The 12296-nt window shown below is 45.0% G+C and overlaps 1 long non-coding RNA gene across 1 annotated transcript in view, besides 5 other annotated features; it reads left to right on the top strand.

Annotated features, from left to right (window-relative positions):
• The window catches only part of LOC124902544 (uncharacterized), a 57376-nt gene that overhangs the window by 36885 nt on the left and 8195 nt on the right, over positions 1-12296 (top strand). The window lies entirely within an intron of this gene.
• Positions 1639-1808: an enhancer, noted in NCBI's record as "active region_3313". NCBI's record gives its function as "activates an Ori minimal core promoter by ATAC-STARR-seq in GM12878 lymphoblastoid cells {active_cell/tissue: GM12878}" and the evidence as "EXISTENCE:reporter gene assay evidence [ECO:0000049][PMID:35858748]".
• Positions 3088-3590: an enhancer, noted in NCBI's record as "H3K27ac-H3K4me1 hESC enhancer chr10:44806263-44806765 (GRCh37/hg19 assembly coordinates)". NCBI's record gives its function as "activates a minimal SCP1, AML or CMV promoter by ChIP-STARR-seq in naive H9 embryonic stem cells {active_cell/tissue: H9 hESC(naive)}" and the evidence as "EXISTENCE:reporter gene assay evidence [ECO:0000049][PMID:30033119]".
• Positions 3177-3506: a silencer, noted in NCBI's record as "silent region_2338". NCBI's record gives its function as "represses an Ori minimal core promoter by ATAC-STARR-seq in GM12878 lymphoblastoid cells {active_cell/tissue: GM12878}" and the evidence as "EXISTENCE:reporter gene assay evidence [ECO:0000049][PMID:35858748]".
• Positions 4351-4520: a silencer, noted in NCBI's record as "fragment chr10:44805333-44805502 (GRCh37/hg19 assembly coordinates)". NCBI's record gives its function as "represses an EF-1alpha promoter that drives an FKBP-Casp9 reporter gene in an ReSE screen in HepG2 liver carcinoma cells {active_cell/tissue: HepG2}" and the evidence as "EXISTENCE:reporter gene assay evidence [ECO:0000049][PMID:32094911]".
• Positions 6541-6750: an enhancer, noted in NCBI's record as "active region_3312". NCBI's record gives its function as "activates an Ori minimal core promoter by ATAC-STARR-seq in GM12878 lymphoblastoid cells {active_cell/tissue: GM12878}" and the evidence as "EXISTENCE:reporter gene assay evidence [ECO:0000049][PMID:35858748]".

Raw genomic sequence — 12296 nt, 5'->3', positions numbered from 1 at the left:
CTGGAGCTGCTCCTGGCATTGGTAGGTGAGGAAATTCATTCTTTACCCTGTCTTCCTTACTTCTCCCTAATCAAGCTGAGTTGTCTTTCTGTATGAGTAGTTATTTCCACAAATCACCTTTCTTTCCTTGTAGTGACACACACACCAGCATTATTATTGTTTCAATCAGGAAGCCACCCTCCCATGCCAGAACTATCTGCATGCAGTTTCCACACAGTAGGCAGCTTTTACTGGGGCTCTAGTCATCTAGTTTTCCACAGTAACCCAAAGGGTGCCCTAGTGTAAATGCAGCCTCAAGCAGAGTCTCTCCAGGAGAGACATGTGCCCTCCCACTTCTGGAACATTTGTCATTTTCTCCAGACACAGCACTGGGATTGTTGCCAAGGCTTTGGCAGGACTCTGTGCAGGGTCTTAGACATTATACTTGTGCCCTCAGCCCTGTGCTAAGCACCCTCACCCCCCACCAAGGCCTTGACTGTTTTCTAATTGTTGGATGGCAAGTAACTCGGCAGCCACTTCTGAACTGTCAGTCAGCCCCAGACTGCTATAAAATTGCTTAATGATATTTGGGTTCTTTGGGAGTTGTTGAAGTGTGGAGCTGTAATGAAGCAGCCACTGGCTGCCTAGTGAAGGAGAGGGTCAAGAAGTGGGTCAACCATGGAGGCCAAGGACTTGGCTCCCAGACTGGGGGAGGTGGCTCAGAGCTCCGCCTCCAGGTTCAAGGGATTCTCCTGCCTCAACCTCCTGAGTAGCTGGGATTACAGGGATGCACCATCATGCCCAGCTACTTTTTGTATTTTTAGTAGAGACAGGATTTCACCATGTTGGTCAGGCTGGTCTCGAACTCCTGACCTCAGGTAATCCGCCTGCCTTGGCCTCCCAAAGTGCTGGGATTGCAGGCATGAGCCACCGCGCCCGGACTGGATCCCATATTGGACACTGGGCTGCAGAGTTCTAGATTCCGTATGTCTCCTCAGGTAGAATCTCCACACTGCAGCCTCTGGCCAGAGGATGTAAAAGATCCAGACAGACCTGGCTTTCTGGCTGCTGCATAACAGCATGTTCATTTGAACGAGTGGCTTGAGCATGCCAGACCTGGGTCTTTCTCATCTGTAAATAGAGTAGTACATCTATCTCAGAGATATGTTATAAGAACTCAGCAAATTGCTGAAGCCCAAGTCACAGATGCATAATGAGTGAGTGTCAATTACTATTCTCATTAGTAGCAGTAGTACTCTTACAAAAGTCAGTTACAAATCTCAGAGACCATAGGTCTATATTGTAAGTGATGACTTGCGGATGTTGTAGAAGAGTTGGGAGTGATGTTTGGGATCATCCCATCCCAGCCATTCACTAAACTAGGAAGCTGAGGCCAGAAAGCAGGACAGAGCAGACTCCCCATACCCAACCTCCTGCTCCCCAGCACTCCTCCACCTCAAGGACACATCTAGGCCTCAGCCATCACTGCAGTATAGTTTCCAGTGCAATGAAAATGCTACATCTTCTCTCTCCTTAAAAATATATAGTAGTAAATAATATGTCTTATATATTTAAAATACTCATTATCTCCTATAGGATCCTTGTCCTACATACCATACACATCACACACATATTCAGGCACAGCCTGAGGAGGTGGGTGTTCAGCTGTATTAAAAACAAAAGTTGTAAGAAAGAATAATAGTGTGAAATCAGTGCAGGACTATTTATGATTAATATCAGGAAGCCCTTGTTAAGAATGCCATGTATTCTTAGACTAAAATACCCTCTGCAGGGACATGGGGAAACCCCATGACTTGAGACACTTCTGCTGGGACAAGGCATGGCTAAGCACAAGAGAGGAACAAAGCACCCGCCGCCTCAGGGGACCATCAGAGACAAAGCTTGAGTCCCAGGCTCCTTTCTGAGTCAGGAGTGCATAGAGTGGTTGTTTGAGAACTGAGTGTGCCTCTGTGTGCAGTCGTGGGACCTCAGTGTCCAGCCTGCCCAGCAGAACAACAGGCTTAGAGACCAGGAGAGGCAATGACAGGTGTTCTGTCAAAACCGCCCAGCAGGGCAGCAAGACGCTAGTGCAATTACTGGGCTGCACATCAGGGAAATGTGGTGGACTTAGTGTCTCTGGATTTCTGTAAGGCATGTGACAAGGTGACACGAGGAAGCTTTTTGATCAATTTAAAGACAATAGGTTAAGATCTTCATGGGCTCCTCATAAAAGCCTTGGTAGTTTGTCAAGCAATCTTTCACAAAGGGGAAAGGGGCTGTGCAGCCTCTTTACCGGAATATGAAGCTGGATTTCGGTATTTTAACAGCACTAGGACATACGAAGGCTGCCTGTCAAACTCACTAATTAGATGGATCTGGAAGCCATTACAGATATATTGGATATTTAAAAACATCACCATCCCAAATGATTAACATAAATGAGAATTATGGACGTGGTAAGCCAGGATGAACTTTAGTGCAGAAACTGAAGATACACCCTTAGACTGAACAGCAATAATAGCAGCTGTCTGGCACTCGTTAGGAATTAAATGTTCGCTGGATGGATTCAGGGATGGGATTACTTAGTAGAACATATGAAAATGAATAAAAATTGAACCTAAACTCAGAGCGCATGAGAAGTGTGAAGATTCTGGCACATCGACTGCTGTGACCTCTGCCTGTGTGTCTGAAGGCCAGCGGTTAGAGTCCCGCAGGCGACGTCCCGTCCTGTGCAGTGGGCAGACCCTACCTGCAGGCTCAGGTGTACTCCTGGGCACCACAGTGGAGAAGGGACTCTGTAGATGGTTTGTGTCCTAACGTGAGTCATCTGAATGGTGACGCTACATCATACCACAATGATTGGAGGGCCCGGGGAGGTTTGGGCAGAGCAGAAGAACTGGGGTTAGGTGGTGCTAATGCTGTGTTGAAATGCTTTAAGTGCTGTCATGAGAAGCTAAGCCCTTTGCAGGCGAGACCTGGAGGGCAGAGGTAGGACAAATGGAGTGAGCGACAAAGGGCTCAACATAAGGAAGCTGTTTCTAATGGTCAGCGTTGACAGCAATGCAGTGGACTGCTTGTGAGCTCCCCATCACGCAAGTGTGCAGGCAGAGAGGCTGAACCGCTGCTTTCTGCGATGGCAGAAGGCGATATCACGTGGGCGTGCGGTCAGCAGGGCGCGTGCTCCCCCTCCTGTGGTGGAGCCTGGAGGCAGCCGCCCGCCGGCCGTGGCCGGTCCAGCAGAGGGCGCGCTCCGAGCCGCGCGGGCAGCGGGTGATGCAGGCAGGGGAAGCGCGGGCCAGGCAGGAAGCATACAGCGCAGGCCGCGCAAGGGCAGAGACGTCCTCACCTGGCCACCGCAGCCGCGCAGACCCCGCAGGTAGCCGCGGCGGAGCTGAGCGAAGGACATGGCGGTGCCCACGGGTGCCGGGGCCGCGCCGGAGTGCACTGGACCAGCCGGCCCCGCGCACCCTCCCCTTCTCCATGCAGTCCCCCAGGGGCGTGCAGCATCACCGCCCCGGGTTCTCACCTTCCCCTCCGCCTCTGGGGCTTTCCCTTGCACCTTTCTGGCGGGCCGCTCCTGGCCTGCCTGCCTCTCCCACGCTGGGCCTGCGCACACCCGCTCATCCTCGACCTAGGATGGAGAGATGGGCACACAGGCAGGGGCCCGAGGGCCTTTCTCGCCCTGCCCTGGGGAATCCGCCCTCAGGAATGGGCCGCGCGGGGCTCCGTGTGCATCTGTTGGTGTGTGATGAAGGGAAGCCCAACCTGCCCTGGTTACGAAAAACATATATTTTAGTGCCAAATCTCTCTGGTTTCCTGAGTGGCTTTTCACCTTCACACGTCATAGAGCGAACACTGCTCTACAGGGTTTTGTGGAGGGAGGGATGGCGCTGTTAGACTCAAATGCCTACTTCCCCTGGGGTTAGCAAATTCAGTAATCTTGGGCGATCTCCCCACAGTAGAAAAAGGTTAAAAAGTGGAAAAAAGAAAAAGACCACCACACTTGACCTTCCAGGGCCAAATCTCCGGTCTCTCAGTCACACCAGGCAGCCAACCTTTCACAGAGATACCGGGACATTGCTTGGGCACACTTCAGCTTTATGAAACAAGGACATTCCCCTCTATCCTCCTGCTAAAGTCCGCCCCGCCCCTCAGCCCCCTCACTTCTGCCACCGCCATATCCCCGCTAGACAGCTTCCGCTGACAAGCCAGCCTAGGGCCACCCTGCTTCGGAAGCGTGTGGGCCCTCCAGGCTTCCATCTGCGGACTGCACATCACAGGGAGGGAGTGTTCCGCACCAGGCAGGGTGAGTCCACAGTGGCTGCACCTGGGGCCAGAGGCCGAATGGGAGGGTGGAGTGCTTACGGTGCGCACCTTCTCCTGGTCAGGGGGCGGGGAGCCGGCTGATGCTGCCCCCGCGTCCCCAGCCACCTTTTGGCTTTCTGAGATGGTTAATTTTAGGTGTCAACGTGACTGCGGTGAGGATGCCCAGATGGCTGGTAAAACATTATTTGTGAGTGTGTCTGTAAGGGCGTTTCTGGAAGAGATGAGCATTTGAATCAGTGGACTGAGTAAGAAGGTCCACCCTCACCAATGTAGGTGGCACTGGTCAACCTGTTGGGGGCCCAGAGAGAACAATGGGGCAGAGGAAAGGTGAATTGTCTCTCTCTTCTGGAGCTAGGACATCCACCTTCTCCTGCCCTCAGACATCAGAGCTCCTGGTTCTGAGGCCTTTGGATTCTGGGACTTACACCAGTCCCCTTCCTCCCTGGATTTTAGGCCTTTGGACTGGCCTGGACCTGCTTCCAGCTTGTAGATGGCGTGGCCTGGAATTTCTCAGCATCCATAATTGAGTGAGCCAATTCTCACAACAGCTCTCCTCATCCAACTATATCTGTATATCCTATCGTTTCTGTTTCTGTGGAGAAATCTGGCTTGCTCTCTCTCCCTCTCTCTCTCTCTCCCTCCCCCCGCCACCTCCTTCCCTCCCTCCCCCTCTTTAATATAAAACCACGTGGATTACTCTTCCAAAGTCACTCTGATTATTTGGGCCATATGATCTTTTCAGTGGATAAACTGTCTGTTTATGATTGAAAGAGGCCACAATTCACAGGACTTTGCTTGTTACAAACTCACTTTATTTCATTTTTCTAGGCAGCCAGCAGCCCCAGATGAGCAGCAACACAACTCTTATTTGTACCTGGCTGAGCAGCACGGCCGCATATGCTTTGCCATTCCACTTCCCAATGGCAGAGCCATGTAAACTGGAGCCTGGACCAGGGGAGGGGAGATGCAGTCAGTGAGAGGGATCCAGGACAGGCCTCCAAAGCCAGCTGCCTGCCAGCAGGGTGGGGACACCCATGAAAATCCAAACTGCCCGCACGGCTTCCATCATAACAAGCTATCCCTGATTGTAACACTTGATTCTTGGAGGGAAAAAGAGCAAACAAATCACCCAGCTGCAAAACTATACTTTTAAACAAATTGTCAAGTAGACAGTTTGGAAGATTTCTGCCAACCATTCACTGGAAAAATGAGAAGAAAGCTGATGGGCCCCAGATTTTTTTTTTAATAGCAGAGTGTTCTTGTATGTGTTTGTGTTATGAAAATTTAGCCAAGCTAGGTAGGTTCACAGAGAAGGCTGCCACTCTGCTTCCCTGTCCCAGGTTGACACCTTTACTGTCTTTTCCTGTTTCTAGGCTTTATCTAATTACCATATTGCCAGCTGGTTGACTGAAACTATTATTAACATTGAAGTGATAGCAACCAAATATCAGCCAGGATGCTAAGCTTAACCCTGCCAGTTGCTTAGAGATCCAAAATGTTGGCGTGGGAATTAGCTTGTGATAATGAAAAACACAAAGTTGATATGTAACCAAAGCATCAATTGTTAATGAGCTCTGAGATGTCCCATGCTCCCATGGAAAGGATTGGCATATTCCCTTTTTCTGCAGTGGCCAAGTGCAAGCCAGAAGGTTGCTCGCCGTGCAAGGACTTAGGTCCAGGAGAGCTACTCACCTTGAGGACGCACTGCCCACTGGATGAACTATGCATGTTGTTCTGGTTCAGAGGCAGATAAGGGGACAATGGGAAAGGCTGAAAGGACAGCAGAGATAGAAACAGAAGATTCTGTTAACAACCATCCATGAGGGTTCAGGGGCTAATGGTCTTTGTGACCACTACCTAGGGTGGCAATATCTAGCAATCAGTGCTTTCTTTTTAATATTGTTTTTGCAGTTGCAAGAAATAGACACTGGGTGCTTTTTGACTAAACTATTTCAAAAGGTGTAGAAATCTCGGTGCCTTGCTGGGCCTGGAGGGACTGCCCCTCCCAGGCTGGCCAGTCCCTAGAGATGGTAAATGACTTCAGCAAGCACAGCTTTCCAATGCAAACCAACCACTCCAGAGCCCTCCCAACCACCTCCTCCGTTGGGCTCTCACCCTCTGGGCCACGGCCACCTGCCCTAATCACCCCAGGGCCAGGCACCAGGCAACTCATGACACCCCTGTGTCCAGAGCCCACTAAAATTATTCAAAGTAGTCCATTCTAAGTCTACTTGTACTGCCTTGCTGGTTCCTTCTCACAAAAACCACATTAAAGGCTCTTGCTACAGTTCCCCCCACACTTCTAACCAACACTGGAGTTTCCCCATGTGGTCCCCCATGGCACAGCGTGGCCCCCATGGCAAGGCATGTACCTCCTCTCCAGATCTGTGCATGACAGACTATCTGTTCAACAGCAGTCCCCTCCTTATCTGTTGGCCTTGCCACACCTAAATGAATAAAACCTATGTTTTAAAGCAACCATGTACCCTGGGAGTCAGGAATGACAAGCATGTTATTTATTATTTCTGTAGGGATTTCTCTTTAAAACGTTCTTTATGAAAAGACAGCAACTGTCTCTATGCTGGAAATACAGAAAATTGATCTTGTGTCATTTTTTAAATTAAAGTAATAGACATTCATAGCAACAAATCAAATACAATATTACAAAGGGTTTATAATACGAAAGAGCAGCCTCTCACCAGATGCCACCCCAGCCCAGAACCACAATACAGAGATTTTTTAGTATTCCTCTTAGTAATTGTCCTGAGGCCTATCCCACAGTTCTAAATAAAATGCTTTATCTCTGTTGACCTATTTATCCACATCGCGTCAAGCATATAGAAGATTTGCTTGCCTGACAACCAAACCTTTCCCGCCTCTGTTCTTTGAAATGTTTGAGAATTAGATTATTTCTAGCATCTCTCTTGATAATATTGTAACTTCAAATAATACACTCATCCTTTTCTTTCTATTTCCATTTACTTTTGAGTTAGCTTGGATGTTGGTCCCCTCCAAATCTCATGTTGAGATGTGAACCCCCAGTGTTGGAGGTGGGCCTCTGGTAGGTGTTTGGGTCATGAGATGGATCCCTCATGAATGGTTTGGTGCCCTCCTGTGGGCACTCTTCTAGTTCTCACTCAGTTAGTTACTATGAGACCTGATTGTTAAAAATGGCTTAGCACCTCCTCCCCTCCCTTGCTTCCTTTCTCGCCATGTGACACACCTGCTCCACCTTCACTTTCTGCCATGATTGTAAGCTTCCTGAGGCCCTCATCAGAAGCAGGTGCTAGCACCACACTTCCTGTACAGCCTGTAGAACGATGAGCCAAATAAGCCTCATTTCTTCATAAATTACCCAGCCTTAGGTATTCCTTCATAGCAACACAAACGGACTACGACAACTTTTGACAGACTCTCAACACTCCACTTTGTAAAAGAGGTTATTAGTTTCTTAGCATTGTCTTCTACTTTTCTTCTCCCTTGCCCCACTCTCCAATTCTTCTCAGCATCCCAACTTCTGTGGGCTGGCCTTTTACTAGTGCCAAACATTGTGACTCAGCTCATACCCTGCTGCTCAAGTTTCAAGTCCAGCATCAGTGTGTGCTATTGCCAGGCTAGAAGATCTTCATAAGGGAACTAAGGTCAATTTCACTAGTGACTTTCTCTGCTCTCTTGGGCAAGTCACCCAATTCCTTGAAACCATGGCTGCCTCATTCAACTTCCTTCATAGCTTTAAAATGAGTGGGAACAAAAGAGCGGCTGTAAAGTAATGCAACTTGTAAGTTCCACACTGCTATCCACACGGAAGGCAGGGGAACTTTCTGACCTGTCCTCTGAGAAGCATGGTGAGTCCTTGAGTGTGATCTCTTATCCCCGGCATTGGATGGCACCATCACTATGGGACTGATTGATGTCCTCCAGGCCCAGTGGTTGGGGAAGGAACATTTTATATGGATTCCTTTCACATCAAATCCCATCACACAACTCTCATAAATGCTCCTGCTTTTTGATGTGTGCATTTGAATCCAAGTTAATTATATTTTGTGATATTTAAAGGGGCAAAGGGAGCGATTTCATCCATTTTCAGCCTCCCTGGAGTAAATTGTTCTAATTTACTAATAATCAAATTTAATCCTTTCTTTTCCTTAATATTCTTGGTGGTTGCATTTCAGTCCCTTTACTGGCTTTACAGTAAAATCTTGACTACCCTAGAAATTTTTTTTATACATGCCTCGATTTATACTGATAAACCCTAGAAAAGATCATGCTTGGCCTGGATCTCTTCCTATATAGAATACTTTTCTAACTTTTTTTTCTTGTGGGAATAGCTATCTCTTTTTTTTGTATTTATTTTTTGTTATTTTTAAAAATTAAATTAATTTTTACATATATAATTTACCATCTTTACCATTTTAAGTGTACATTCAATGGTAATAAATGCATTTATATTCTTTTTATTTTCTTTCATGTCTCCTTCCCTCTTCCCCTTCCTGCCTCTGGTAACCACTAAGGTACCCTACCTTCATGAGATTTACTTTTTAGCTCCTACATATGAGTGGGAACATGTGATATTTGTCTTTCTGTGCTTGGTTTATATCACTTAAATGGCCTCTAGTTCCATCCATATCACCCCAAATGACAGAATTTCATTTATTTTTATGGCTAAATAATATTCCATTGGGTACGTAGACCATATTTTAAGAATTCATTCATCCTTGGGCACTTAGGTTTGTTCCAAATCTTGGTGATTGTGAATAGTGCTGCAATAAACTTACAAGTGAAGATATCTCTTTGATAGATTCCCTTTCTTTTGAGTATATACCCAGCAGTGGAATTGCTGGATTATATGGTAGTTCTATTTTTAGTTTTTTTGAGGAATTTCCATACTGTTCTTCTTTCTGGCTGTACTAATTTACATTTCCACCAACAGCACATGAGGGTTCCCCTTTCTCCATATTCTCTCCAGCATCTGTTATTGCTTACCTTTTTGACATGAGCCATTTTAACTGGGGTGAGATAATATCTGATTGTGGTTCTGACTTGAATTTCTCCAATCATTAGTGACATTAGTATTTTTTATATATCTGTCGATGATTTGCGTGTTTTGAGAAATGTCTGATCTGATTTTTGATCAGATTGTTTTTGTTTTTGTTTTGTTTTGTTTGACTTTCTCTACTCTCCTGAGAAGAGTTTGCTATTGAGTTGTTTGAGCTCCTTATATATTCTGGTTATTAATCCCTTGCCAAATGGATGGCTTGCAATTATATTCTCCTATTCTGTGGGTTGTCCCTTCACTTTTTTTATTGTTTCCTTTACTGTGTAGAAACTTTTTAGCTTGATGTAATCCCATTTGTTTATTTTTGCTTTTGTGCCTGTGCTTTGGAGGTCTTATACAAAAAATCTTTGCCCTAGATCAATGTTCTAGAGCATTTTCCCTGTCATCTTTAAGTAGTTTCATAGTCTCTGGTCTTAGATTTAAGTCTTTAATTCATATTGATTTGATTTGATTTGATTGCGTTTCATTCTTCTGCACATAGTTATCCAGTTTTCTCAGCACCATTTATTGAAAAGACTGTTCTTTCTTCATTGTATAATCTTAGTGTCTTTGTCAAAGATGAGTTTGTTGTAAATGTGTAGATTTATTTCTGGGTTCTATTGGTCTGTGTATCTATTTTTATGCCAGTACCATGCTGTTTTGGTTACTAGAGCTTTGTACTAGATTTTGAAGTCAGCTAATGTGATGCCTCAGCCTTGTTCTGGCTTAGGATTGCTGTGTTAGTCTGTTCTTATGCTGCTGTAAAGAGCTTCCCTGAGACTGGGTAATCTACAAATGAAAGAGGTTTAATTGATTCACAGATCCGCATGGGTGGGGAGGCCTCAGGAAACTTACAATCATGGCAAAAGGAGAAGCAGGCATGTCTTACATGGTGGCAGGCAAAAGAGAGAGAGAGAGGAGAGAGAGAGAGGGAGGAACTGTCAAACACAAAACCATCAGATCCTATGAGAACTCGCTCACTATCATGAGAACAGCATGGGGGAAATGGCCCCCATGATCCAGTCACCTCCTACGAGGTCCCACCCTCCCACACGTGGGGATTATGGGGATTACAATATGAGATGAGATTTGGATGGGGACACAGAGCGAAACCATATCAATTGCTTTAGCTATTCAGGGTCTTTTGGGTTCTATATACATTTTAGGATTTTTTTTTGTTTCTGTGAAGAATATCATTGATGTTTTGACAGGGATTACACTGAATCTGTAAATTGGTTTGGGTAGTATGGTCATTTAAATAATGTTATTTCTTCCAATCCATGAGCATTAAATATCTTTCTATCGTGCATGTGTGTCCTCTTCTATTTCCTTCATCAGAGTTTTATGGTTTTCCTTGTAGAGATTTTTCACTTCCTTTGTTAGATTGATTCCTCCTTGGTTAGATTGATTCTTAGGTATTTTATATTTTTTGTAGCTATTGTAAACAGGATTCCTTTCTTGATTTCTTTTTCAGATTGTTCACTGCTGGCATATATAAATGTTACCAAGTTTGTATTAATATATTGATTTTGTATCTTGCAATGTTGTTGAATTCATTTATCAGTTTTAACAGTTTTTTGGTTGAATTTTTAGGTTTTTCTAAGTACAAGATTATGCCTTCTGTGAACAAGACTAATTTGACTCCATCTTTTCCAATTTTGATGCCTTTTATTTCTTTCTCTTGCCTAATTGCTCTGACCAAGACCTGCAGTATTATGTTGAATAATAGTGGTGAAAATAGCCATCCTTGTCTTATTTCAGTTCTTACAGGAAAGGCCTTCAAATTTTCCCCCTTCAGTATTATGTTAGCTGTGGCTTTGTCATATATGGCCTTTATTAGTTTGAGGTATGTTCCTTGATTACCCATTTTTATAAGGGTTTTTATCATAAAGGGACATTGAATTTTATCAAATGCTTTTTCAGCATCTGTTGGAATAATCATATGGTTTTTGTTCTTGATTCTGTGAATGTGATGTATTATGTTTGTTTGTTTGCATATGTTGCATGTGTATGTTTATTTGCATTGCCCCATCTTTGCATCACTGGGATGAGTCCCATTTGGTCATGATGAATGATCTTTTTAATGTGTTGTTGAATTTGGCTAGCTAAGATTTTGTTGAGGATTTTTGCATCTATATTCATTAGTAATATAGGCCTGAAGTTTGTTGTTGTTGTTGTTGTGTCCGTGTCTAGTGTTGTTATCAGAGTAATGCTGGCCTCTTAGAATGAGCTTGGAAGTACTCCCTCCTCACCATTTGTTTTGAAGAGTTTGAGTAAGATCGGTATTTATTCTTTAATGTCTGGTAGAATTCGGCAGTGATTCAATCTGTTCCTGGGGCTTTTCTTTGATGGGATATCTCTCTTTTTGGCTCTAATCTTCCTAACAGGGGAAATTTTAACCTAGGAACATGATGCTTTCTATTGCTACTTTGTTCAAAGCCTAACAGTTTAATGTCAGCGGTAGTAATGATGACAACAGCAGCTGACCTGACTGAGCACCCCCACATGTGACAAGACACCATGCTAAGGGATTTACATCTCTTAGCTCCTCGAACCCTGACAACTGCCTTGTTTTCTCATTTCACACATGATGAAACGAGACTCAGGAGATTCAACAACTTGAGGTTAACAATGTGCCTAAGGTCACATCATAATTCTGGTGGGATGCAGCTTCCTATCTCCTGTAAGTGGGCCATTTTAAGGCCCACCCGGGCAGAGCCCCTCGACTGGCATAACTTAATAATACTCGATTTCAGATAACTTATTAAAATCATTTCACCACAGTAGAGCAAATAACTGTGGTCAATGGTGATGGCAGTGGAAACCTTTCCAGCAACCATGAGCTACTCTTTGCAAATGATCACTCTGGCGGATAATCCCATTAGTTCTCTTCTACCACCTCTTCAGAAATACTCTCACCTCCCAGCACAGAGGCACCTGGGCTGTGGCTTTTCCA

Source organism: Homo sapiens, chromosome 10 (genome assembly GCF_000001405.40).
Source record: "Homo sapiens chromosome 10, GRCh38.p14 Primary Assembly".
In the NCBI taxonomy this organism is placed as follows: domain Eukaryota; kingdom Metazoa; phylum Chordata; class Mammalia; order Primates; family Hominidae; genus Homo; species Homo sapiens.
This window is presented reverse-complemented; position numbering and strand designations above follow the sequence as displayed.